This window comes from Homo sapiens, chromosome 6 (assembly GCF_000001405.40).
Source record: "Homo sapiens chromosome 6, GRCh38.p14 Primary Assembly".
In the NCBI taxonomy this organism is placed as follows: domain Eukaryota; kingdom Metazoa; phylum Chordata; class Mammalia; order Primates; family Hominidae; genus Homo; species Homo sapiens.
In genome coordinates this window covers 130,592,093-130,619,977 of record NC_000006.12, presented here as the reverse complement: position 1 = coordinate 130,619,977, position 27,885 = coordinate 130,592,093, and the positions used below count along the sequence as shown (strand labels likewise).

Here is a 27,885-nt window from a genome sequence, read left to right as displayed (position 1 = left end):
TTAGATGTTTTCTAATATAAAATTGTTACTGCATTTCTATTTCTGAATCCCCTGCCAGGAATATCGTCATCCTAAAGTATTCTTTGAAAAGAGCTGAATGATTCCCTCCAGGTGTTACAGCCCAAGGCAACTGGAATGAGGGAGTCTCCTTATTTAGAGTAGATACCCGATTAGTCCAAATGGGTAGCACCCACCACTGACTGAGTCCTTGTGGTGTTCTAGCTCCCATGTCACACAATTTTTGCCTTATCTCATTTAATCCTTACCATAGTCCTCCAGTGTCATTAGCCTGTTGTTATTGATGATGTGATGAAGGCTCACTGCTGCTCATCAACAAGCTGCAGACTTTCAAAGGCAAGTGTTCTTAGAGGAAAGAAATTTTAATTCTAATATGACAACTTTAATTGCTAAAAAATTTTGCATGTTTTACAGGAAAAAGAAAGTTTGCTCATGAAGGGATCTAAAATCTATCAACATATATTAAATGGAACAAATTTTATAAAAACTTGGTCATTTAAAATATTTTCTCTATCTTATTAAGGAAAGTGTTTCTGTTTTAATAATTGTCTTTTCATGAAAATTTGAGCAGCTTCTGTAATATTGATTTTAGTCCAGTTTCTGTGTTCCTGGACCGAACTGAGGGTTGGGCTGCTTAATCTCGCTGCCCAGTAACGAGATGCAGATGAACTGGGAAAGAAGAGAGCTTATTTCTATAACCGGGTACAGGGAGAAGGCCGGGAAAATATCACCAGATCAACTCAAAATTACAAAGTTTTCCAGAGCGCTATACGTGCTATGTGTGAGTGTGCATTCACCTAAAGACGTAAGTGATTAACTTCTTCGAGTCTATAACTAAGGTCTAAGTCCTGAAGACCTTCCTCTGGAGTCTCAGTGAATTTACTTAATCTAGATGGGTGCAGGCACCAGGGGTGATTACCCTTATCTTGTTTCCTGCTAAATCAGGGAGGTCTGGGGAGTGCCTTTAGGCCTCCCATAAACTTGTCTGTGGAGGTCTGGGGAGTTTCTTCAGACCCCCAATAAAACTTGTTTAATCCTAAACAGGTCCTGTTAAGAATTCCTTCGTTATCTTGTCATGCTTCAAGGCCCAGGAAAGGCCTAGGCAAGACTCTTGGTGGGCTTTTGTTACATCCCAGCCTTTGTATAAGGACACTGGCTCCCTCAGCTTTTAATATTTAATGTAACCATTCAGTCAGAGCTGAAACAGTTGTCATGGAGGCCTACCTGTTCTGCTGTTAATGAGACCTGGCTTGCCACACCTGAAGTAGATATAGCCTCTTAAAATTTGTTGAATAAAAATAGACTGGGAGCAGTGGCACACGCCTGTAATCCCAGCACTTTGGGAGGCCGAGATGGGCAGATCATGAGGTCAGGAGTTTGAGACCAGTCTGGCCAACATAGTGAAACCTCATCTCTACTAAAAATACAAAAAATCAGCTGGCTGTGGTGGCAGCTCCTGTAATCCCAGCTACTTGGGAGGCTGAGGCAGGAGAATTGCTTGAACCCAGGAACCCAGAAGGCGGAAGTTGCAGTGAGCTGAGATCGCGCCACTGCACTCCAGCCTGGATGACAGAGCAACACTCCGTCTCAAAAAAAAAAAAAATTCCCTTTCTTCCAGTTCCTATCAATCCATTCCCCTCACCAAGGTACCCACTGTGAACAGTTTTTTACCAATAAACTTACCCATTTTCTTGTACAATATTATTCATATATGTACACACAGAATAAGATATAATTTTACATTACTGACTCATACCAAATGGATTGTTCCATAACTAGATTTTTAAATTTAAAAATATATCTTGAATATATCTTCATGCCAGATTAAATGGGTCTATTTACTTTTTTTTTTTTAACTTATTCCAGTATGTTCCAAAGTGTGGGTGAACCATGGTTGATTTAACCATTCCTCTACTAATGAACAATCCATAGGTCGAATGTTTATGTTTCCTCCAAAATTTATGTTGAAACTTAATCTCCATTGAGGTGCTATTTAGAGATGAGGCCTCTGAGGAAGAGATTAAGTCATGAAGGCTTTGCCCTCATGAATGAATTAGTGCCTTATAAAAGAGCTGGGAATTAGTGAGGCCCTTTTGCCTGTGTGCCTTTGAGGACGCAGCATTCCTCCCTTTTGCCTTGCCACCTTCTGACACAGTGTTTGTGCCCTCCAGAGGACACAGCAACAAGTGTCATGCTGGAAGCAGAGAGGGCAGCCTTCCACCAGACACCAAACCTGCCAGCACCTTGATCTGGGACTTCTCAGCCTTCAGAATGGTGAAAAATAAATTTCTATTATTTATAAATTACCCAGTATATGGTATTTTATTATAATAGCACAAATGAACCAAGACAGACTTTTTTTAGTTGTTCCTAATTTTTGCCATTACAAGTAGTGCCGAAATGAACATTTATATATGTATATCTTGGTTCAAATATTGCTATAATATAAGCAACAGATATTTTGAGATCTCACACTGTATTTTAGAGTTTGATTTGGGCAGTTGGCAAAAATATAAAGAATAAAACATTTCCTACCCTCAAGGGATTTTAACTACATGGAAAGATAAGCTGCAAGCCTATAAAAAACAAAATAATAAAAACGTAGATAAAGATGATTCCAATATTTAGATTTAAGGGCAATCATGAGATATGATAAATTGCTAACTATGTTTTCCATTCATACAACAGTTATTCAAAATGAAAGTCACATTTCTTGCTCTCATATGCTTATAAGCCTAGAAGAGCACATGGAGAGATGGTTGTAGGGCAAAGTGGAATTCTGGAAGTATTCATAGGGTGCCTTTGGAGGCCCAGTGAAGAGAGTTCCTGGTGAGCCTGGGAAATGAGGGAAGGATTTGTTGAAGAGCTGACATAGGAGCCATGTCTTGAGGAGTAAGTGGGATTTAGCTGTACAGAGAAAAAGAAGACAAAATTTATTTAGAGATGTTCCCTTGTAAACAGACACGTCAGAGCATTACTTTCAGCTGGAAGGCCAAGAAAGGTTTTCTGGAGGTGGGTTTGAGTTGGATCTCTAAGGGATACAGGTCCAAAAGGACAGTGTAGAGTGAGGATGGCTCCAATGGAATGGCCTGAACAGAAGCAGTGGACAGTGGCAAGTATATCCAAAGAATACTGAATAATATAGTTTGGCTGCAGCAAAAGGTTTGTGTGAGGGAGTATAAGATCCAAGGAAGAGAAAGTGGATTAAGGCCACATCAGGAAGGCTTTTAATTTTTGGTTAATGCATTTGGACATTATCTTATAGGGCATGGGGAACACTTTGGGGGAAAAATATTTGGTAGCCATATTATAAAATTACGGTAGAACTCTGGAGAGTGGACTTGTGTTAAAAGTGGAAATGTATTATAATTACATGTCATTTCTTAGACTATTTAAAGCATTTTTTCTCATAGTTAAAAATTACATCATATTTTTAAGTGCTTATATACCTAGCACATTTTCAGAGTTGCTAATTCATTCCCTAATAAATCTAAAACTCCTCTCAATTGAGAAAGGAGTGGCATCTTCCTGTTTTCATCCCAAGAGGATTTCATGAGCTGCCATGTGGGAGGCAGAGCAGAGGAGGATAAAAGATTATAAGGAATTATGCTGGTTTGGGCCAGGAGGTGTGATGCAGGTGGTAGGACATGGTGAAAGAGGTATCTCTGGGGGAATGAAAAGAGCAGTGTCAAGGATGACTCCAATTGGGAATGAAAACACAGGAAAACAGGGGTAGAGATGGGCAGAGAGGCGGAGAGGCAAAGAGGATTACTCATTGATTTTATTAGTAACAGTGGCATACAGGTTTGTTCAATAGTGAGAATATTTGTTAGTTGAATTTATTCCTGTTTTCCTCAAAAAATGATACAGTAGGAAGGAGGACAAGACCTTGGAAATGCATGCCCACTCCCTGGCCCCAAGGCCCATAGCATTTCCCCTTATATCTCACTGGTGAGAAATGTCACATGGCCACACTCTGCAAGGGAGTCTGGGAAGTGTAGTTCAACCATGTGTCAGGGTACAATTCTTTTGCTGTAGAAGACTCTAAGGAGCACATTTTGGTGGACATCTGGAAGTATCTGTTTTCTAAATACATTATTCACTCATTACATTGAGGGCTGATTATGTCAAGGTCTGGCTATATTCTGGGGAGTCTATGAAATAACTATCAGATATTATATGCATATGGCAATAAAAATTTGAGAACTGATACTTTGAGATTATCCAACTACTTATTTCCTGACTTCCTATTTAAAACCTTGGTAATGAATGATTTGGATTCCTGGCTAAAATTACCTGTCCAAGGAATTATCTAGCATGGAGGACAAGAATATTATCCTGAAATCAGATCAATCTCACTGTAAAGTAACACATTGACAACCTGATTTACAAGGCAGTCTCATGTGAACTTTTTTTTACTGGGAACCTGGTTCACTCCTGAGCAAGCTGACAATGAAGTGTTAAGACTGGAGATGCTGTGGGCCAGACCTGTGTGACCACAGGCAGCATTCTGCATGCTTACCTGCTTGCCTCCTCCCCTCCTTCTTGTCAGTTCCCAATAGTCAATGACTGTGAGCCCTGAAAGCATTCTTTTGAGAGATCTGTCCTTTAGTTTAAATCAGCTATTCACATTACATACACATGTAATGTATTTCACAGGCAAGGCCCTGCTATCTTGACCTTATAGACTGTAGAACTCGTTTACCTTGTCATGATTGCTCAGTGAGTCTGTACTTCAGTGAATGTTCCTGCTATCATATCTTCCCTTTCTTCTCTTTCTCTTTCCACGACGACAAAGATGTAACATGGAAATGTAGAGTTAGCAAGCAGCACTTTCTCTAAGCCCTGCGTATCCTGTCCCCTGTTGAGTGCAGCTGGCGGGTGATGTGTTTCATGATGGTAGCTTGCACCTAAAAACAGTGTTTAAAATACACAAATATGTGATTATTTCTTTTTTCTTTTGCTATTGTCTCTGCTTTTCTCTATCTTTCTATTAAGGATAGATGGGTTTACCTCTAAGTTGCTTCTGTCCTATTAATTTCCCATTATCTTTTTGCAAATGCCAATGCATAATTATTGTGCATGCTACTGTTTCCAGAAAGTCAAATAGTAGCTACCTAGGTGTCTCACAGGGAGGTACCAGAAGACTTTGCTCCTCTCCAAGAAACCTTGTTCAAATACCCATCTTTGATATCTTCTATTGTTAAGTTAGTCACCAGGAGGGTCCTTGCCTTTTTCATGCTTATCTTCTCAGGGAGACCAAACCTGAATGCCAAAAGATATAAAGAAAATGCAGATTGCTGTACCCATCCTGAGTCACATGAAAAATAAACCATCTGCTAACACACAAGAAAAGACTTACATGCACAATGTAGGGTGGTAAGTAACGTGTTTAGACTCAAGAGGGAGACACTTAAAATTTGGATTCATTCTATACACAGTCTCCAGAGAGATCAATTTAAAAAGATAAAGCACCAAGGGTAAATTCTAAATGTCTTGCCATGGTATACACGTCTCTATTTGGTCAGTCTATCTGCCCCTCAGCCTCGCTGCTGTGGTATGCCCCCCCACCCACGTTTTCCCCACTCACTCTCCCATGTTCTATATCCCAGTATTTGGCACAAAACAAATATTGGCTGAATGAATGAAATTAATTAATGTTCCTTACATTTGTGCTTTTCCTCAGCCTAGCGTGCCTCTCCCCCAACCTCCATCTGGTTGACTCTTACTTGTGAAGCCTTCATTCAAGCAGTGTCCTTTTTGCCACCTGGGATGAGCAGGGATTCACCTCCTCGCTTCTCCTGTCATTTTTACCAGGGTTGCATTTATCATACATATCACTCCATAACTTTCTATCTACACGTTTGTTTTCCTCACAGGTTGTGAACTCTTCACGGGCAAAGATGGGATCTGATTGTCATTCAAAACGCAGTGCCTAATTCAATGCCTGGCACATTGTCCGGTGAATGAACTTATTAACCCACAACAAAATGTAACTGCAGGAGAGACCAGAATATTCTTGGCCATTGGTAAGCTCATTCTCTCCCCAGCAGATAAATTTTCTTGGGAAATTTAATGGCTACAAAAAATTTCTGGGTGAATATGAATCAAACCCAAGGCAGCTGGACAGCCTTCATGGACACTTTTATTAAATTTAGTGAGTCACCCTTCTCTTTCTATAATAACACGTTGAACCTGTCAAGCAGAATGAAATACCCATGTCAGGAAGCACATATCTTCCATGAAGAGTGACGGACACATCCTGAGGGGTTCTTCACTTGCCCTAACACCTTTACCTAATAAAAATGGGCATTCGTTATTGTGACTGTTCCAAAGCTTATACTTTGGGCAATTCCAGATTATGAGTTTTAGCTATAAACCTCTTTTAAAAAAAAAAGTCGTAAAGAATCCCAAACCCAGATTTCCTTGAAGCTTGAAACAGGCATGTGGCTTAGGTTCTACTAATCAGCTCATACTCATCTAGGCGTGGATTTGGAAATGAGAAATGTGGAAAAGCAGCCCTGTGCAGGGACACACATCTGGCAAGCATGGCGGTGACGGCCTTCAGCTCATCAGGGTGGAGATCCTGGCACCCAGTCCCCTGTGTCTTCTGGGCATAGTGAGCTTGGCTGTGGTGTCCTTGGTCCCGAAAGTGTTTTTGGGTATCTGCCCTAATTGCTCGACTTTTCTGGCTCACCTGGGATTTCTCTGAGTAGCCAAGTATCATTTAATAAAGTTATTTTCTGCCTACGCTAGACAGGATAACTTGTTTTTGCAACTAACATTCTTATTCAACATTCACAGCGTTGCTCTAATTTCAACAGCCATTTCCAGAGAAATGTTGCCTTGTAATTGTTCTGATGAAGGCTTCTGTACAGAATAGTTAGATACTTTAAGTAATATGGAAGTTATTCCTTTAATGATCTTGCTCAATTTCCCTAATTTCTGTTGCTTCTCTCATTTACTAACCCCTCCCACCTTTTTAAAAACCATTTAACCAGGGTAGGTTAGTAAAAACATAGGCTTTGGAGATGCAAAGGACTGTGTGCGGGTGCTGGCTCTGCTATTTATTAGTCACATGACCTTGGACATTTTCCTAACCTTTCTGAGCCTTCCTCAGAAGATATGAAAACAGTATTTATCCTGTAGAATTCTTGTTAAAATGAGACAAGGCCTGGCATATTGACTGCCATCAATAGGAACTCTTATCAGAGGGCTCTTGTCAGTCTTGCTCAGTTAACTTTGAAAGGCATCCAGGAAGACCAAGTTTGTTTTTCTTTTACGTTAAGTTTTCCTGCGCAAGACTCTATAATAGCTTCCTTACTGAAGCTATTTATTGCCTATTGAGTTAATTCTCAAATTCTTACCCTGGAATTAAAAATTTTCTTTTACCTGGTCCTATCTTTCCTGTCCAGCTTCATCTCTTACAATTAGTTTGCAAGAGCCTTTTGTATTCATGAGCTCAGCCCCTTTATCCTCACAACACACTGTGTGCATTCCCACTGCTCCCCCAACTTCCTTGTCCCTATTCAGGTGACCCCCTTTCTCGAGCTTACCCCTCCCTTTCTCTCTGCCAAGCCAAATCAAACCTTTCTGTTAAAATACATTGTATATATAACATTTTGTATGTATCACATATGCATGCAGTACAAACACACATGTAACACATTATATGTATTGCACTTGGTGTAACGTTCTGTATGCATAGCTCAAGACCTTTCCGGAGCAAACACTGTGATGTCTCACCATATATTGATCAATTTTGATGCCGACTACTTATGTCAGGAGTTCTTTCTATTGCCAGATAAATGCCTTACATGGACTGTCTCATGAACCCCATCAGGTAGGGACTAGTATTTGGCTAGTTTTGCAGATGAGGCAAGAGAGGCACAGAAAAGTTAGCAATAGAATCAATTAAATTTAGTCTGAAGTCACACACAGTAAATGGCAAAGCCAGGATTCAAACCCAGGCAATCTCGTGTTAGAATCCAACCCCTTAACTACATTGCAATTTTGAAGGAAGGGACACTTCTTCAATAATATGGAATTTCTTCCTATTATTTCCTTTTGTGCCTGGTATAGAAATGATAAAAATAAACAAATCAATTTATTATGTGGAGCATAGTGAACACAGGGGAGAGAGAAATGAAATGAAGTTGGAGGCCTGATCAAGTGAAGCCTTGAGGGCCGTGATCTTAATGTCACCACGACAGCCATCTCCACAACCACCACTGATAGAGTGTGGGGCAGCAACATGCAGTGCACACACTGTCCCCAGAGCACAGCGTCTGGGAGCATGTCCTCCCCTCCTTCCTGTGAAGGACGTCATTGCTACTCTGACAGGCTACTCAGTTCAGTCCCTGCTTGAAGGAAAACCCTAGGAGTTGGTACGTCTGGGTGGTAGTGTAGCTCAGTGGAAACTTCCCATGACTGACATGGGAAACACATGACTGAGGACGTGTGTTTCAGTCCAGCTCGTCCTTTTGTTAACTGTGACATTTGGGCAAGACCTTTCGGCTTCTGGAATCTTAGATTCCTTGTCTACAAAGTGATCATGCAAATGTCAGTATCACAGTTGTGAAGGTCAAATGAGATAGTGTACAGCTTTCGATTTTTGTTTTAAAAGTGAAGGTGTGATTATTGTAAACATGAAAATTACTTTCATGCTCACAATCTTTATATATCCTATCCCCTATTTGACAGTAAGAGAAGTAATCCTCTTTCTGCCATACGAAAGAGAACATATACAACAAGACTCACTCTTCCAGCACTAAGATGAGATGTTTCACAGACACATGTGACTTCTTAGAGTATACAGAAAAGGTAACAGCCTTAAAAGGAAATTTTGGGCTAAACACTGAATTGTAGACTTTATTTGTGGAGCGAAGTAACACATATGACACATCATTTTCTAGGTGGTTTGGACCCACGGGGATGTTCTTTAGCATAGGAAATTTTTCCATTCTGGGTAGTAATTATAAACTCTGACAGTCTGAGTCAAATAATTATTTCGTATTCTTCTAAAAGCGTTTTAGCACTTTTGTGTATAACATTTGTTTTGTTCAAGGCTATTTTCTTAAGGCATTTTTTTCCATTTTGATAATATAAGCTGATAAAAATCATTGATTCAGTGGAAAAAGTTTGCTTTATAACCAAAATTTTCAAAGTTGAAAAAGAAATCAGACACTTACATTATGGTTATTTCAATTTTAGCATGGAAATGAACAACTCTCCCTAGGAAATCAAGATGAAATGGTTTTACTTTTAAATTTCAATTTAAAATAAAATCCCAAATTAGTTAGCCTGCAATGTAATTTACATCAACCTTTCCCTTGTGATGATCAGATGCCAAGTGAAGTCTTTATCAGGCATTACTAATGTTAACTAGCATCAGGTGGCATAATTCACATATACGACTTATTCAAGGAACTGGTTGCAAATGAGGGTCCCCGAGGAAAAAAGTTCCAGCTTGGCTCATTCCTTTTTAATAATATTAGCTTCTGTTTCTATGGAAACTGCACATCCTGTTTGGCTGTTTGCATAAGATGTCTTTAGATTTATTGAAATAGATTCAAATAGTTAAAACTAATAGAAGTGTTCTGCTTTGAGGATAATATCATATAGACATTTTCACAGATGAGTTAACAAATCACACTTTATTGTAGGAAACTATGCTAATATAAAGTGCAAATTACTATGTTTTTGAATTTCTGTATGTTTCTAAAATACTAACATTGGAACTCAAAGGGGGAAATGATTGTTTAAATATCATCTGAATAAAATATACCAATAGAAAAATGGGCAAAGAATGAAAACCAGTATATGTTTGTGTGTATATATACACTATATTTATAAATATATATAAATGGCTAATACACATAAAGTGTATGCAAAATATATATTTATATAATAGGTATATTATATAAAAATAGTGTGTTATTATATAAAATATAAACATTATATAAAAATGTATTTTGCTAAAAAATATAAAAATATATTCCACATCAGCAGTAATCAGGAAATGCAATTTATAATGATAAAATATCAGTGTTTACCTCTTGATTAGCCAAGATGTAAAAGAATGATAAAATCCAGGTTGGGAGAGTTGTGAGGACATAGGCACAGGAGGGGAATGTTGATGGGAAGAATATGAATTGCTGCATTTCTGAAGGGAACATTGACAATATGTATCAAAATCCTTAAATATGTGTAACATAGGCAAGCCACTTGGCCCAGACGTTATACTTTTAGGAACTTTTTTTTTTTTTTTTCAGATGGTGTCTCACTCTGTTACCCAGGCTGGAGTGCTGTGGCGCTATCTTGGCTCACTGCAGCCTCTACCTCCTTGGCTCAAGTGATCCTCAGCCTCCTGAATAGCTAGGACTACAAGGAAGCTTACCATGGGATTTATAAAGAGATAAACTAATAAGGAAATTCATCATAATATTATAATAAAAAAACCCAAATCTAGAAGGAAAGAAAATGTGTGCCACCAGGAAATTCTTTACTTTGGTCACACTCCACCAGAGTGACACCCCCACCTACTTTTACTCCTCAGTGTTTCCCTAGTACCTCGCCCAAGGCCTAGATGCTCAGTAATAGTTGTTGAATGAATTTAAATGATGGTATCAAACTACAATTAATTAACTGAAAAGATGTCTATGGTATGTTAAGTAAAAAAAAAAGTGACAAAATAAAATATAAAATGTGATTATTTAAAAATCATCACCCTATGTATATGTGGATGAACTCTATAATAATATACACCATAATGACTAAATCAAAAAGTGATTGAGAAGAAGTGGACTGTGAATGTGAGTTTCAGAAATACCTTAACTGCTGTATTTCCCTCAGATTGTCTATGTTAATACAAAGAGTGACATATAAAACACAATGATGCCTAAAAACTTCTCAAATAGTTCTTTCAGTAAGTATAAAATTAAAATTCTATTAAATAAAATGTTACATTGTAAATCAATGGAAGCACTTTCTTCTTTAGAATTAAATTTAAAAAATGATGTGTCTAATGATGTTACAGGTTTTATAAAATATGGTGCTTCTATATTGAACTATTGTAGCAACATTTTAGCTGGTCTCTTTGTCTCCTTTCAATTCTTCACACTTATTCACACCAGATTAACCTTCCTAAGCAATCTCATGATTTTATTTGCCTCCTCACAATTGTCAGTGTTTCTCTTTGTGTATAGGTTAAGACATTATGAATGTTTGTGCTCCCCCAAATTCACATGTGGAGGCCCTTAATCCCTAGTGTGATGATATTTGGAGGTGGGACTTTGGGAGGTAATTACAATTAGATGATGTCATGAGGGTGGATCCCCTATAACAGAATTAGTGTCCCCATAAGAAGAGGAAGAGAAGTCAGATCTCTCTCTGTTTGTATGTGTGTGTGTGTGTGTGTGTGTGTGTGTGTGTGTGTGTGTCTTTGCCATGTGAAGAGACACAGTGAGAAGGTGTCTGTCTACAAACCAGGAAGAGGGCCCTCATCAGAAACCTAATCAACCTGTATTTTGATTTTGGACTTTCTGGTCTCCAGAACTGTGAGGAATAAATTATTGTTGTTTAAGCAACCCAGTCTATGGTATTTTTGTTAGGGCAACTAGACCTGAGGCTAGATCTAAACTCTTTAACAGGGCCCACGAAGAGCCCTTCATTATAGAGCCTTCATGATTTCCTCAGCCAGTCCCCACACACCCAGCAAGTCTCTCATTCTATACCCAATTCTCTTGACATCTTCTATACCTTTCTACTTCTGTTCTTTTTTTAAATGTTAATTTGTCTACTCATGTTGTTATTCCAGACCCACAATCCCAATCTTTGCCTGAGGAAATCCCACTCTTGTTTCAATATCACCACCTCCATGAGGCCTCCTAGACTGTCTTATTCATAATTGAACTTTTCTTTTCCTAGGATAACATTGTTGGAAATTGATTATAGTACTTACAAAGTCAGTCATATTTTACTGTTAATTTTGAACTTGTCTGTATCTAAATAATATCTTATTTGGCTTTCTCTTCTCTAATCCTTCGCCTGCCCGGATACAAAGCATAAGGCTAAGCAAATACAGAGTGAATGTTTATTAAGTGCTAGATTTATTAAAGTCTTCTATCAGAGTTCCAAACCTAATGTTAAAATATATTTAAATATATATATATATATATAGTTTTCTTCACAAAGGTAATATAGCTTGAGTCTTCAAAATCCTTTATTTCAGATTGAAGATTTCTGTACTTGATTGAACACAGGTGACAACACAATCACAACAGTAATCATAGCACTTACTGTGTGCCAGACACTGAGCTGAACATTTACAGGCACCACGGCATTGAATTCAATAAGAACTCTCTTGTGTAGATACTATTATTATGTCCATTTCACTGATGAGGAAACAGGTTTTGAGAGTTTCAAGTAACTTGCCCATAGTCACTGTTTTAGTCTGTTTTCTGGTGCTAGAACAGAATACCACAGACTGAGTAATTTATAAACAATAGAAGTTTATTTGGCCCACAGTTCTGGAGACTGGGAAGTCTAAAAGCATGGTGCTTGCATCTGACAAGGGCCTTTGTGCTACATCATCATATGGCAGAACGTTGGAAGGGCAAGAGAGTGTGATTAAATAAGAGACTAAGAGAGAGCCAGAGGTCAAGAGGGAACCAAACTTTCTTGTATAGTAAGCCCTCTCTGGCAATAACTAGCCCATTCCCTTGATAATGATATTAATCCACTCATGAGGGAAGAGCTCTTATGATCTAATAACCTCTTATTAGATCTCACCTCCTAACACTGTTGTACAGAGGACTTTTCCAACACATAAACTTTGGGAGACACATCCAAATCACAGCAGTCATGTTCTGTGAAAGCAACAGAGTCAGGCTGAAAACCCAAGTCTGTTTAAATGTAGTCTATGTTCTTAATCTTCACACTATATTGCCTGTTAATGCTTTTTTTTTTTTTTTTTTTTTGACTGAGTCTTGTTCTATTGCCAGGCTGGAGCATAGTGGCACATTCTTGGCTCACTGCAACCTCTGCCTTCCAGGTTTAAGCAATTTCCCTGCTTCAGCCTCCCAAGTAGCTGGGACTACAGGCATGCGCCACCACACCCAGCTAATTTTTTTGTATTTTTTCAGTAGAGATGGGGTTTCACCACGTTGGCCAGGATGGTCTCGATCTCCTGACCTTGTGATCTGCCCGTCTTCGCCTCCCAACGTGCTGGGATTACAGGTATGAGCCACTGCGCCTGGCCCAATACATGTTTTTATGTAACATTTTACTTGACATTTGTAAAAAATCAAAATTAAAATAAACTTAAAAAACAAGAAGCTACTACTTGGAACTATCAGTTGGAGCAACACTATCCTCACTGTGCCTGTTTAGTTAGGGTTGGCACCTCTTAGACTGTGAGTTTCTCTGACTGTAGCATGGAATGTCTTTGTTATAATGCTCTGATGTTCTCAGATTAAGTATACCATTATAAAAAAGATACATAGACTTAGTATTATTCCTTTAATTATTGGATAAATCAGATTTCCCTCTGTCTGTTTGCTTAAAAATATATCACAGAGGAATACTTTCCTTAGATTATTCTAAACCTTTTTGGGTAAAACTTAAGACTTAAACCTGAGACTTGGATAACAGTGCCTTTATAGATATGTAAAGACCAAAAAAAAAGTCCGCATATACCATTGAACTAAATCAGATGAAATTTAAGTAAGTGAATAACATATTCTACAATAGAGAAGAAAACAGACTGTTTAGGTAAAGGCATATGCAGGAAAGCACGATGCCTGTGGCCTTGCAAAACCATATCGCCTGCATAGTTCTATGCCTGAGCTTTGGCCCTAATACTCAGGGCTCACCTTGTTCCTCGGAGGCCACTCTTCTCCTATTCCCCATGACAACTGTGCTTCACCAGGACTCGACTCTACTTAATGGTCTTGACAATTGCTACTTAAAAGGTTATAGTCCTTTTGTTTCCCTATTTATTATATTTCCTGACTTTCCATCATTTATCGTTTCCTATCTGAGATACAGGAAGGACTTGATTCATAATTTGTTTTGCCCCAAATGTTTACTACACTATGAAATTATTGGTTTGGCTTTAGAGTGAAGGTGTGGAAATAAGTGTGTATATTTCAAGTTTAAATATTTAATAAAGGCAATTTGACTGTAACCATATCTTCTCTAAATGTTACTTCTTTCTCTGTTGAGAGTTGTCTATGGCCCCCAATGAAAGACCACCTGCAGTACAACCATAGCTAAACCAAATGGAGTTTATTGACTTGTTCCAATGAGGAAGACCATATACCATGGAGAGCTGTGGGGTGACTCAATAAGAACGTGGTAGAAAGGACCCACATGATCTGGGCTTGTGTTAGACAATTTTTGAGAAGATTCAAGGAAGTAGGTTTTGCTCCAGATTGGATGCTGTTGGGAAGCAATTCTATGACTGGGTATCTTTTATAAATCTTATCTATATGGCAGGAGGAATGAAGTGAGGCTAAAGCTGTAATTGGTAAAGAAGCAGCTTTCATATCAGCTAGGGTAGGGGATGTTTAATATTTTGGGGGGTTTGGACAATGTTCTTGTTTTTGTACAAGTTCAGACATCTTTTGGAAGTGTCTTGATTTTGTCATGATCTATCAAAGTCATACAGGGGACTTGACTGATGTGGGTGTTCTGTGAAATTGTGTTCAGCAGGACAGCACCACAACCTAGCTCTGAGTGCCAGGACAGTACTGACAGCACCAGGCAAGCTCCGGCCTGTCAAGATCTGGCTTTTCTCTTCTCTTTTTCAGAGTCCTTAACAAGATTTTAGAATCATTCAGCAACCTCCGAGACTATATCTCTCCTGACACCAATGACCTTGGCTTTGAATTCCTTGCTCAGTGAATGTGCTTAGAAAATGCTGGTTGGAGAGTAATTTCTCCCTTTTCTCTGGCCAGCTTGACCTTTAGGGTGACATTTGGCTGGATAAACAAAAATATCTTAAAATAACATAAATCTAATTTTAAATCTGCTTGGGAAATCATAAACCATTAGTAAAATATGTTCTCTTGGTTCTAAATATACTTTTTTAGTTTAGTTGTCTTAATTAGCATAATTTACCGACACTAAAAATAATTTCTAGAACAAAAGTCTCTGAAAGTAGAAGTAAAAAGAGCTCTTTTCCTCTGCATTTTAGAGCTCAATCTCCCACAACTTTACTACAAACACTTTAAAAGACTTTGGTGAAGTAGTGATCCTGATTTTAATACTGAGCTATTTTATTGTTATTGTCCATTAGCTATTTGGAATTCCTACCATGAAAGTACAGTGCTGAGGATGCATACATTTCTCTTGTTTTCAGCCTCAACATTCTTAGATGATTAGCATTTGACAGATGAAACATACAATGCTTAAGATGATCTTGGTAAAGACAATAATTACAGCTTATCACATGGTTGCACTTTAAAAACCTCACAGTGAGGAATGGTCACCAGAAAATGGGGCTCCCTGTTATCAGGAAGATGAATCAGAAAAAGAAAGGACTTTGATGGCAGAGGCCATTCACTCCACCAATCAATCAATTAATCCACCAGACAATTTAATGTCTATTCGTTGAATTCCAAACTTGAGCCAGATTCATTGCTGTATGCTGGAACACCAATGTGAGAAGGAACAGAGCTCCTTCTCTCATGGAGTTTACTGGAGTAGGTAAGGCAGACATGCAAATTAATGTCTGCATAATTGCAAATGGAAGCCCTATAAAGAAAGGGAACTGGTTTCCACGAAAGCATAGAACAGTGGGACCTGAATTAGACTGGACTTTCAGGAAAGACATTCTTGGAAAAGTGACCCCAGAACTAAGAAAGAGGAGTAGGTGAGACACTTGGGGAAAGAGGGAAAGGAGGATGGCTGAAGAATGTTTCAGACAGAGGGAAGAACAGAAACAAAGGCTTTGGGGCAGGCATGAGGAGGGCTTGTGTCCTGGTGTGGGCTCCCTGGAAACAGACTCTGAAACAGAGATTTGTGGCCAGGTGTTTATCGGGTGTGCTTTCACGAATAACACCTGTAAGGAAAGGAGGAGGCTCTGGAGTTGGAGTGTCCTTTGGAGCTGCCTAAAATTCAGGCCTCTGAGGCTACTTATGGACCAATCTTCTGTCCCGAGGTGGGGGCATGACCTTAGGAGAACCAGGTGAGGGCAATTCCCAAAGTGGGACTCAGGTGTGAGCTAAGCAGCTTAAATTCCTAGCAGCTGGGGGAAATGAGTGCCTTGGGCTTGAAAGGGGAGCTGGGTGGGATGCCACACAGGGCTCTGCTGCGATGACCTGCGATGCTCTGTGGGGATGGAGGTCAGATTGCTGAAAGGTAAGTGAGTGATGGGACAAGAATCTGGAAGTGGGAGCAGGATCCACACACACAGGGCCTGGCCTCCTAAGACTTTTTAGGGATTGTACCTTAAGAGCTATTAAGGGGAATAATAAGGGTTAGGGCCAGCATGGCTTCAGAGGGATGATGCATATCCTGGGCAGGGAGATACTCTAAGCTGCAGGGCGACCCTCCTGTGTTTCTGTCTCCTTTCAAATTAGCTCAGTGACTTGTATTAATTGTTCTCAAGGATACCCATTTTAGCACTCTTTTTGCTTCTGTTTTTTGTTTTTGAGACGGAGTCTCGCTCTTTTCCCCCAGGCTGGAGTGCAATGGCGCAATCTCGTCTCACTGCAACCTCTGCCTCCCAGGTTCAAGCAATTCTCCTGCCTCAGCCTGCCGAGTAGCTGGGATTACAGGTGTGTGACACCATGCCTGGCTAATTTTTGTATTTTTAGTAGAGACAGGGTTTCACCATGTTGACCTCAGGTAATCTGCCTGGCTCGGCCTCCAAAGTGCTGGGATTATAGTCGTGAGCCACCGCGCCCTGCCCCATTTCAGCATTCTTGGTTGTTCTCCTTCAGATTTCCCAACTCAGAAGCCAGGCAATACTATCGGTGAGAGAATTAAGCATATCTGTGGCTGTGGGCTGAAAGATACTTGCTTCCTCTCAGGGTATCCAAATGCAAATGTTTAAAAAACTCCCTGGAAGATATGCTGTATTTTATTGGCCATTTCCCCACCAGTACTCAAATGTACCATGTAATATAAGAACCCTTAATCACGTGAAGCATGTTATATGTGAGACTGTCATAATTGGTGTCAACTATGTTTAGTTAGAAAGATTTTGTGTTATATGTGGCTATCTTCTGTATCTCTATCATCCCTACCCTCAGATGAAAGGGCGTTCATAATACTAACCAGAACAATCAAGTTGATTTAGTAAAACCTCATCACATGCCTGATAATCACATATCAAGCATGCACACTTTGTATTTAGATGTTTGATTTGATATTTGGTGCTATCATTATGAATCAGTCTTTCCGCTTTCATGCTGTAGCGTGTGATCTTTCAGGAACTCCTGAGAAGCCACGGAAATGATTCTTGCTCAGCTCCTTCCCCTGGAACGATGAATCATGGTAACTCATAAAAACCAGGGAGAGCTCTTGTCTGACAGTTTAATAGCTTTCCCTTTAGTCAGTCGGTGTAAGAATCTAATTTTGAGCCTATTCATTTGTGAAAAAAGGTCAGCGTAATTTCCTGATAGCTCCTGTGGCCTCTCTCCAGAATGGGCTGTCTTCCATACATGACAATGATGCTGGTACCATGTTGTGCAAAGTTCATGCTCTAAGGTGTTTTTCCCCACTGAGTCCTGATCCTAGGTCCAGATTCACAGGCACAAAACCCTCACCGGGGCATCATTCCAGACCTTCAGCTCTCTCCCTCACAATCAATCATCATGTCTGGCCAGTTCTACCCCCTGAGCAACTCTCTTCTTTCCATCTTTTCTGCCTTCACTGTAGACAAGCGTACCACCATCACCCGTTGGTTTGACTTCTGTCCCCGTCCAATTCAGACAGGTAGCCTGTAATTCCCTCAGAGGCAATTCCTCCAAATAAAAATCTGATCAGGTACTTCCCTTGTAAAAACCCTTTAGGGGCTCCCATCACCCTAGATTTTAACACGTTTATAAGCCACACTTACGAGCCTTCACCACTTCCATCTCCATGCACATTTCTAGGTTCCATTGTAAAAGGAGACTGTCCCATCTGTCTGTAGGAAAAGTCTTTCAAATGAAAATATAGCCTGGATATTGTAGGCTACTTTTCCAACTAGAAACTTTGTAGGAAGGGCTACTCTTTAGGGGAATAGTCATGATTATTTCAAACTTAAATACCTTTCCTTTGCATTGTTGAGAATAGTATGAATCATCTCTCACATGAAAGGGCCTATTGAAATTATATATTTTAATTCAACAAACCCTAATATTGTATTGATAATAAAGATAACTGAAAACCCCTAACCCTGGGGAGATTAAAATCTGTAGGTGAAATAGGGACTCTTAAACAACTAACTACAGCTGCAACTAATTCTGTATTGGAGGTATAACATGCCGTGGATGATAATAATTCATTCTGACTGGAATATCAGTAAAGACAGCATCTGATCTTGGCTTTGGAGTAGAAAGAGGTTGTTCTGGATAAATAGAATATCAAAAGAGCTTTGCTAGAAACAAAGAGTTGGGGAAGATATCCAATCATTGGCCTGGAGAGAGAAGAATGAAGAGTTATAGCAGGAAATGGTCCTGGGAAGACAGATTATACTTAGGTCAGAGGAAGCTGTAAATGCCATTCTAAGTAAGAATCACTTACTTGATAGGAAGCAAGAGAGGTTTTGAAGGTCTGTTGTGGCAAATCTGGCTTGTATTTTAGGAATGTTACCCAGCTGTGAGAAGGAATGTTGGAATAGTATAGAGATTGGAGGCAAGATAGTGAGATAGAAGAGTGAGTCAGGAAAAGTACTACAATGAAGGGGACAGGCATGGGAGATACTGAATAATTGATGAGTCTTGGCTATGGGTTGTATATAACAGTGAGAGTAAGAGAGTTGGAAATCTCCTGGTAATACTTGTCTGGGCACGGTTAACGCTTCCAAGATGACTCCCAATGATCCCCACCTCCTGGTAGTCTCATGCTCATGTCATCCCCTCCCACATTGTACCAGGATTGGCCTCATTGACCAATAATGGCAGAAGTGATGGTGTGTGGTTTTTGATATTAGGTTATAAAATCAGTGTGCCCTTTTTCCTTGGTTGCTTATTCTTGAATATTTGCTTGGGGGAAGTGGCTGCCTTCTAGTAATTAGCCCTATGGTAGGCACACGTGGTAAGGAACTGGGGCCTCTTGACAATACCCATGTGAGTGAGCTTGAAAGTCATTTCTCTAGCCCAAAGAAGTCTTTATATAACTATGGCCCCAGCTGACATCTTTTTTTCTTTTCTTTTCTCTCTTTTTTTTTTTTTTTTGAGACGGAGCCTCGCTCTGTCACCCAGGCTGGAGTGCAGTGGGGCGATCTCAGCTCACTGCAAGCTCCACCTCCCGGGTTCATGCCATTCTCCTGCCTCAGCCTCCCGAGTAGCTGGGACTACAGGTGCCCGCCACTGCACCGGGCTAATTTTTTTTTTTTTGTATTTTTAGTAGAGATGGGGTTTCACCGTGGTCTTGATCTCCTGACCTCGTGATCTGCCCACCTTGGCCTCCCAAAATGCTGGGATTACAGGTGTGAGCCACCGCACCCGGCCCCAGCTGACATCTTGACCACCACAACCTCACAGGAGATCCTGAGCCTGAACCACTCAGCTAAGCTGTTCGCAGAATTCCAACTCTCAGAAACTATGTGAGCTGAGTTTGGGGAATTTTTAATGCAACAATCAATAGAAAACTAACACACTTGGTAATTAGACAGCTCTGATTAGCTAAGGAGTACAGGTAGTATTAGGGAGTATTAGGGAGTACAGGGAAGGGAAACTGGTTTTATCAAGGAGATGACAAACTTGAATTTTGAGATATTTGGATTGTGCTATATCTCTAAGTCTGTGTTCATTAGGCATTTGGAAACAGATGTCGATTTGGAAGTCATCTGCAAGGTGTAGAATGGTGGCTCTTAAGCTGAAGCATTCATCAGAATCAGAATTTGTTGTTAAACAGAATGCTGGGCCCTACCCCCCGAGTTTCTGGTTCTGTAAGTTTGGGCCTGGGCCCACAATTTGTATTTCTAACAAAGTTGCTGGTGATACTATTTTGGGTTCAGGGACCACACTTTGATAACCACTGATGTTGAATCACTGAGAAGAAAACACAAAGTAATGACATTTATTATAACTAATAGTTCTCTTCTCTCTCTCAAGTATTATATATCTACATATACATTGTAGACCTGAAATATTTAGTAATTAAAGAACATGAAATAAATTTACATTATTGACCAAAATCAGGGGTTGGAGATTTTTGTAGACAACAATAAATTGAAACCATGTACAAGGTAAAAATTGAGTTTCCTTGTTTTATAAGGTATATATGTAATCAACACTTCTATGGATTCACAGTAGACACCTTTTCCTTACTCTCTCTGATTTTTGCTCTTAGTTTTGTATTTATGACCTGAAAATGGATTTCAGTTAATCAGCAAGCAAATATGAAAAGGAAATCCAAAAGGAACTTTAAAATATTCAATTATGTGCTACAAACAGGACTTTCATGTTTCTTCTTAGATTACTGGAATAAATCTCAAGAGATGATGCTTTGACAACCAGGAGGACTGATTACATAGATCCCACAGCAAAACTGTGGTATTGGGTGGTGCATCTCGGCAGATAGGACATAACAACCAACTAGATTAAAGGACATTTTCATAAGGAATAGCTGCTGCTCAATAATAAAGAGTTGTATTTCTTAACTCCTTTGAAAGTTCACATATACAGTATACCAATTAATTTTTGACTTACATAATTAGCTAAGTGGGGAAAGACAATGAATTGAGTTTTGTCTTCTCTCTCTCTCTCTTTCTCTCTCTCTCTCTCTCTCTACATATATATATATATTTTATATAGAGGCCCTTATGGGTTGACATTTTCTTTGCATATCCAGGATTTAGTTTAAATGTCTACTTCCTTAGCATAATGCATAAAAATGAGGACAGAGTATATAACCTCTGATGTTTCGGTAAAGAAAGCTGATCTCTCTCTAACTTGGGTACCCTGGTTTCCTAGTAACTGATCTCTTGCCTTGCTGTTTGAGATAGAGTTCCAACCTTGTTGCCTGGTGACTGTGCTTATCTAGATTTCCTGCCAGTGAATGCTAGATTCGTTGTGCCTGAATTCTAATGCCAACCACCTGCCTTCTAACACTATCACCTATTGTCTCTTGCTTAAAAATCCATACATTACATACCCTTACCATGCATTATATCTCCCTTTCCTCCTGAACATTTTCTATAGATGCACCTTCTAGATGGAACCTGTGGACTCACACCTCTGTAGACCTGTCCTTTGACTAACCCATTCCATATGTTGTTCTCATGGGCTGGTGCCTATCCTTTGTTTGATCAGTTGTGTCTCACTAGACTCTTAGCTTCTACCTTCTTTAGTCTGGTTTATTCCATCACAGCCAAACCACAATATTCCCCTGGGGGGAATATAGATAAAAGAACAAGTAAAGGAATGTGCAGATTATAGAGAATCAAGGATGAAAAAACCCTCTTGCAATGGCATTGTTTCACTCTGAAAGCTGAAACCTAGAGCTACACTGGATCACCATATTTTGTCATCACTGTGTTTTGTTCTGTCATATTCTCTTGCCTATAAAGAAAAGAGACCTACTTGAAGCTATCATCTAAGGTCAGTGAGGCAGTTAAAAAGTCTCATTTTAGCTGACATTTTCTATTAATCACTTAATTTTTTTTCTAACCATTACTTGATAACAGACAAGTCAGACTCCCCACCAGAAGGTTTTTGTTAATGTGTGCTGATAAAGGAAATGACTGCCTTTGCAAAGACCTGCTCAAGAGATCTTCAAAACAGCTCCTGACCTCTACGGTTTTCTTCTCCCCCTTCATTAGAGGCATAGACTGTGTCATCCAGAGTGCTTTTGGCATAGAAGTTAGAGCATGATCAGCTCCCATAGGCTGGATGAGAAATGCAGCTCCTCAGCAGCCACTCATTAGAGTAATATATGGATATATCAAAAAAAGTCCCCCAAACCCAGGAGTTTTGGGAGCAGAACCCAGCTACACTCAGATTTTGTGTGTGTGTGTGTTCAAAGGCTTTATGGTCTCTAATACAATAAGAGTGTAACATTATCAATTACAACTGCTGCATGAGAAATGATTTTTGTTTTGAATATGCATGAAGAGCATGAAAAGGTTAATACTACCTTCCAATTTTGGCTAAAAGGCTCAGCTAATATATATATATATATTTTGGAAAGCTTTCATCTTATTGACAGTATCACCAATAGCAGTCCTGCAGGATTTAGGTCATAGGCAGCATAATTGTCCATATCATGGAGTAGAGGGTGTGTGTGTGTGTGTTTGTGTGTGTAAGTAAGCATGCATTCACACATGTAAGTGTGTGTGTTTTATTTCCCAAGTGGTCACACAGTAGTGGGATCTTCATGACCTCTGAATATTTTTTAAAAATGAATCTCTTCTCTTGAAAACTTATCTTTTAATTAACCTACTTTCTCCTAAATGTCAGCATGTCTCTAGTTACTTTTAATCAGTTTATGTGAAAAATATATTATGTGGATTTTGGCATTTTTTCCAGCTATTTCACCATAATAGTAAAAGAGAGTCTCTTATTTTCAGTTTCAGAGTAAAACAGGTGAAAACTATAAAACACAGAAAAAGGCTTCAGGAGTGTTTCTCACATTTGCCTGAGCAGATCCCCCTGGGCCTTTACGCTCTTCTCTGTATTCTGTACCACACCCTGTCATTAATGCACTAAAATCTCCAGGAAGGTCATGTAACTTACAGGTGGAGGGTCTGACGATTCCTATGATCAGACAAGTGGAAGAACTCCTGTGACAGTGAGTAATTTATGGACTCTGCAGACCATCTCTTAAAGATCTTGAAGACTTGATGGTCGATTCTAGCAAGAACACACATGGACTTGGTGGTTGCTTGGATATGAAGCAGATACAGTGATACAATCACAGAGATGGGTTGCCCCAATTACTGCAGGTTTAGCCCTCAGGAATAACTGAAAATAGAATGGTGCTTCTAGATGAAATGAGAAATGAAGATAAAGATGGGAACTGTATTCTCTCAATTTCCAAGAACCTTCAGAAAAGCTCACTTAAACTTGCTCTAAGGAAGACAGTAGTTGAGGAAAGGGCAGTATTTCCGAAGAGCATCAATAGTAAGTCCCATGGAAAATTCTGATTCTGCATCCAAACAGCTATTAGAGACCAGAGTGAACAGAACACACAAGAAGACTCAGAGAAGCCAGAGGAGGCCATTTTACCTGTTTAGTTTTGTGGCAGGGGTGTAGAGCTCTTCCTTTCAAATCATTTCCTAACGTTGTCATTTGCCTATTTTCTTTAACTGAATTGTGAATTCCAATCTTGCCTCATGCCAGGCCCCATACATACATACATACCACCTTCCTTTCAAGGAAAATCTAAAGGAAGGAATAATAAAAACAATGTTAGTTGCCAGGTCAAAGACAAATTGTAGAAAGGCTAAGATAGGAGGGGGAATTGCTCATGTCTAAAGCAGTGGCGATTTTTAACATGGTTTTTATTATCAGTTTGAACTCTACAAAGTTGCCAATACTTGGCCATCTAGGATCAGCATAATCAATAACTTCCTAAGAAGGAACCTGACGGTACCTATCCCCACTGCAGGGTGCTATTTAAGCCTCAGCACAGCAGAGCAGAAAGCTAGAGGGACTTGGGGCCAGGCAGTTCTTAATTTGAATTTATGTTCCCTTCAGTTAACTATCTTGTTAAATTGCTTACCATCTTCAACAGTTTCTTCATGTGTAAAACTAGTACATTATAATAACTCCCTTTCAGAGTTAGGTATTAGATGAACTAATATAAGGTCATTTGTTCAGGGCCCGATACATGGTAAAAGCTCAATAAATGCTAAGTCCAGATAGAACCAGCTACATAAATTATAGGGCCCAGAGAAAAGGGAAAATGTAGGACCCTTTGTTCAAACATTTACATACTTAAAACAGCAATAGCAAAGCACTAAACCAAGCATGGGACTCTTCTAAGAACTGGGCAGCCTGTGACGGCACAGGCTGCCCAGGAAGCCAATCCTTATTGCAGTCTGGTGACCAACTATCCCAGTTTGCCTGGGACAGAAGAGTTTCCTGGGACACAGAGCTTCTTATGCTAAAACCACAAAAAATCCCAGGCAAACCAGACAGGGGGTCACCCTGTGATATCATTTCACATTCATGAGCCTTGAAGACAGATCTCAAGATACTCAGACTTGTATCAGAGCATGTCTGATCAGTGAATCTTTCCTGAAATGGGCCTTCCACTCTTCTCTGGAAGGTTCATCATCAGGTATTATTGAAAACAAAATAGTGCTTTTAAATGCAATTAATGCAAATACAGGTGAGACACTTACTCTCTCAGTTTTGTCTGATCACAAGTTCTCTTTAAGGATTTCCCACACTCTAACCCAGAGAGTACCTATAACTCAGAGCATTTCATGTTTGACAAAATAATCTTGAATTTGAAAAAAATTGTGCCAGTTTTTCAGCATATACAAAATATTGATATAGTGCTTTAATCCTTGAAAGAGCTAGCACCTCCAGAAATTGTTGTCTTGTCATACATATGATTGAGGAGGCTGGGTTTATTTGCATGCCAAAGAATCAATTTTTAACACCTGTAAAATGTATTCACTATCTAATTTATAGCTATGTCTTACATTTGCACAGATCAAACCAAGATATCTTAGACGTCTGTAATGCCTTAGGGAAAAATTAAGATTGAAAACAGCCTCAGGACTTTCAAAGAGTGTTTTTGTGCTCTTTCTACATGAGATGTTCTTCCCCAACTCTTTCTCTGGAAAACACAAAAAAACAAAAACAGAAAAGGGAAATACCTACTCACCCTTTAGATCTCAGATTGATGTCACTTTTCTGACTCTTCAAATTAGGCATTGCCCTGCCCTAGTTTTACTTTTCAGAATGCCCTATTCCCATTTGCCACAACACGCATCCCAACCCCTGAATATTATACAATGGTGTATGTATGCTGACTTGGGCAGTATCCATTTCTCCATGGGGCTATAACCTGTGAAGACAAGAATCTTGTGGATTTTGTTGACTACTCTAGCCTGTGTATCCAACACAATGCCCAGCACATGGAGACACTCATTACATATTTGTTGAATGAATGAAGGAGTGTAAAATCAAAACAATCAAAGATATGGGATCCACGAGAAATACTTAGGTTCTACTATGACAGTTCCAGTTACACCATCAGATGCATTCCTGGGAAAATGGCTCTTAAAAGGCATTAACATTTAAATCCTTTGAAGGTAGCTGCGTTGAAAACCTATATTTTATTTCTATAAAAAGGCAATAAAATACTTAATAAAAAGCACATTGAAAGCTATTTACAGCCTGTGCATTGTATTTAAATGACAAGGTAAGTGACCCCTTGGTCTTCTACTCAATGGCCACAGGTAGTAGTAGCAAAGACAAGATTATGCTATAGTCCTTTAGAGCAAGATTTGCGTGGCACAGTCGACCTCTTAGTAGCAGATGTGGATGCTATAAAAAGCCAGAATGGCTACTGAATTTATGAAAAAGCTGATAACCAGGTCACTGTGAGGATAACAATCAGCTCCCTCAAGAGAGATCTCTCCACATTAAGTAGTCTTAGTGTTCCTTTGTGGTAGTCAGTGAACTTTGTCATGCTTGACAGGACCAGAGGCAAAGTACAGCTTTTTTTTTTTTTTAACTGTTTATTTGACAATGGGCTCATGCTATGTTAACAGAAATTCAGATCATAGGCAGTAACAGTCCTGCTGTTTTCAGCACTAACAATGTGACATTTAAGATGTTGCTTTTAATTATATAGTTGGATGCACTAATCTTTAAAATGGATATTCATAAACGAAGATTCCCCCAGAACGGAGCACCCTGGATGGTGGGGAGGGCTCAGATTGGAAGAACTGAGGACACACAATGGTTCTATTCACATATGGTACCAGAAGGCAGAACTGTAGCTAAGGGTCCTTTACATCATGACAAGGCGTGCTTGCGCCATTTTAAGAAGATGCTTTTTAAATGACACAGTGGTCTAGTGATGCAATCAGGGCCCTTATGAAGTAGTGAGCCCCCATCACAGAAAGTGTCTGGACAACCGTCTAACAGGGATTCTATGAGAAGGATGCCTGTAGTAGACAGAAATTTAATTTACCTTTAAGATTCCTTTCCACGATTCTAAAATTATAAAGTCTATATGAATACCAGGTATATTGATTTATTTTTTTAAAAGACGACCCTGATTATTAGCATCTCAGACCTCTTCCATCTTAAAAACAAAGCAAATGTTCAGATTCTCCATTTTCTCTTTTTTTTCCCCTTCCTAGCTAAATCACTTACCAGAGTTGACCACACCTGCTACTCACTTCACTTTTCCACCCCACTATGACTCAACCTGCTGAAGTTGGGCTTTTGTCTCCTCTGCTCTATTTAGAACATCTCACCAAGTCCACCAATCATCTCCTGGTCAATAAATGCTCTGGAAAATTCTGAGTTATTACAGTACTATCTGGAGCATCTAACACAGCTGCACACTCCTGTCTTCATAATCTGGCCTTCCTTTGGCCATGGACTCAATTTAGAATCTATCCCAGATAATTCAGGATGTTCTCTCCGTCTCAAATCTGGCCTGTCTTTGTGATACTATACTTTTCTGGTTTTCCTCCTGTTTCTTTGGCTACTCATTCTGTCACCTTTGGGGGTTCTTCTTTCTCTGTCTATCTATACAATGTGGTATTCCTGCAAGTTCCATCTGTGTCCCTTCTAATTTTTACTGCACTTGTTCTTTCTGGGATTTCCCAGTTACTCCTATGGCTTCAGCAATCATCTATGTGCTGATGACTTACAAATCTGTGTCTCTAACCCAGGTATCTCTGGTTTGAGCTACAAACCAACATTTCCAATTGCTTTTCTTCTTCCACTGGGGTGGCTCTCCTACTCGCCTTCTCTGAGCTCATCATATCCTCCCCCAAGATATGCCCCTCAGCCCACTTTCCAGAATTGAGAAATAATACTACCATCCCCTCAGCTGCTCAAGGTAGAAACCCAGATGTCTCTTCTATTCCTCATATACATACTTACCCAAGTGTTGATTCCTTTCTATTTTACCCCCTTCATGACTCCATGGAAATGTCCTATCTGTTCATCCCTGTATCACTCCTCTAATCCAGAGCATCCTTATCTCTTGCCTGGGCTGCCACTGTTGTCTCATAAAAAGTATCTCTGGCTCCAATTTTTTCTGATGTTAGTTAACACCATAGATAGTGATTTTAATGATTTTTTAAAATCCCCTTATGTCTCTTGTGCTTAAAACCCTCCAATAACACCCAATGCCTTTATGATAGAGTATAAACTTCTTAGAATGACTTACAAGGTTCATCATTCTCTGCTCTCTGCCTACATCTTGGTCTCATCCCTTGCCTCTTTCACACCCACTGCTATCTCACAGAACTTGTTTCATGTATATTTTGTTCTCTCAGCCTGAACCTTCTCTGTTCTTCCCCTATGCCGTCTAAACCCTTGCTCCATGTCATTGTGCCACCACTGGTACAATAGATGAGTTTGCATGCCATTGTACCAGCATTACCATGCAAACTCATCTTTCAGGTTTTACTAACTTTAGGTGTTTGTTTTTCTGGAAAACTCCCTGTGATCTCTGTTCCTGCCCCCTCCGATACTGAGCTGTATGTTCTTTTTCGGGCTCCCA

General features: G+C 39.5%; 4 annotated features.

Annotated features, from left to right (window-relative positions):
- Window positions 4,538-5,039: an enhancer, noted in NCBI's record as "NANOG hESC enhancer chr6:130936084-130936585 (GRCh37/hg19 assembly coordinates)". NCBI's record gives its function as "activates a minimal SCP1, AML or CMV promoter by ChIP-STARR-seq in naive H9 embryonic stem cells {active_cell/tissue: H9 hESC(naive)}" and the evidence as "EXISTENCE:reporter gene assay evidence [ECO:0000049][PMID:30033119]".
- Window positions 4,538-6,077: a biological region, named in NCBI's record as "CDK7 strongly-dependent group 2 enhancer GRCh37_chr6:130935046-130936245".
- Window positions 4,878-6,077: an enhancer, noted in NCBI's record as "CDK7 strongly-dependent group 2 enhancer chr6:130935046-130936245 (GRCh37/hg19 assembly coordinates)". NCBI's record gives its function as "activates an origin of replication core promoter dependent on BRD2, BRD4, P300/CBP, MED14 and CDK7 cofactors, with strong dependence on CDK7, by STARR-seq in HCT116 cells {active_cell/tissue: HCT116}" and the evidence as "EXISTENCE:reporter gene assay evidence [ECO:0000049][PMID:35650434]".
- Window positions 16,819-18,018: an enhancer, noted in NCBI's record as "P300/CBP strongly-dependent group 1 enhancer chr6:130923105-130924304 (GRCh37/hg19 assembly coordinates)". NCBI's record gives its function as "activates an origin of replication core promoter dependent on BRD2, BRD4, P300/CBP, MED14 and CDK7 cofactors, with strong dependence on P300/CBP, by STARR-seq in HCT116 cells {active_cell/tissue: HCT116}" and the evidence as "EXISTENCE:reporter gene assay evidence [ECO:0000049][PMID:35650434]".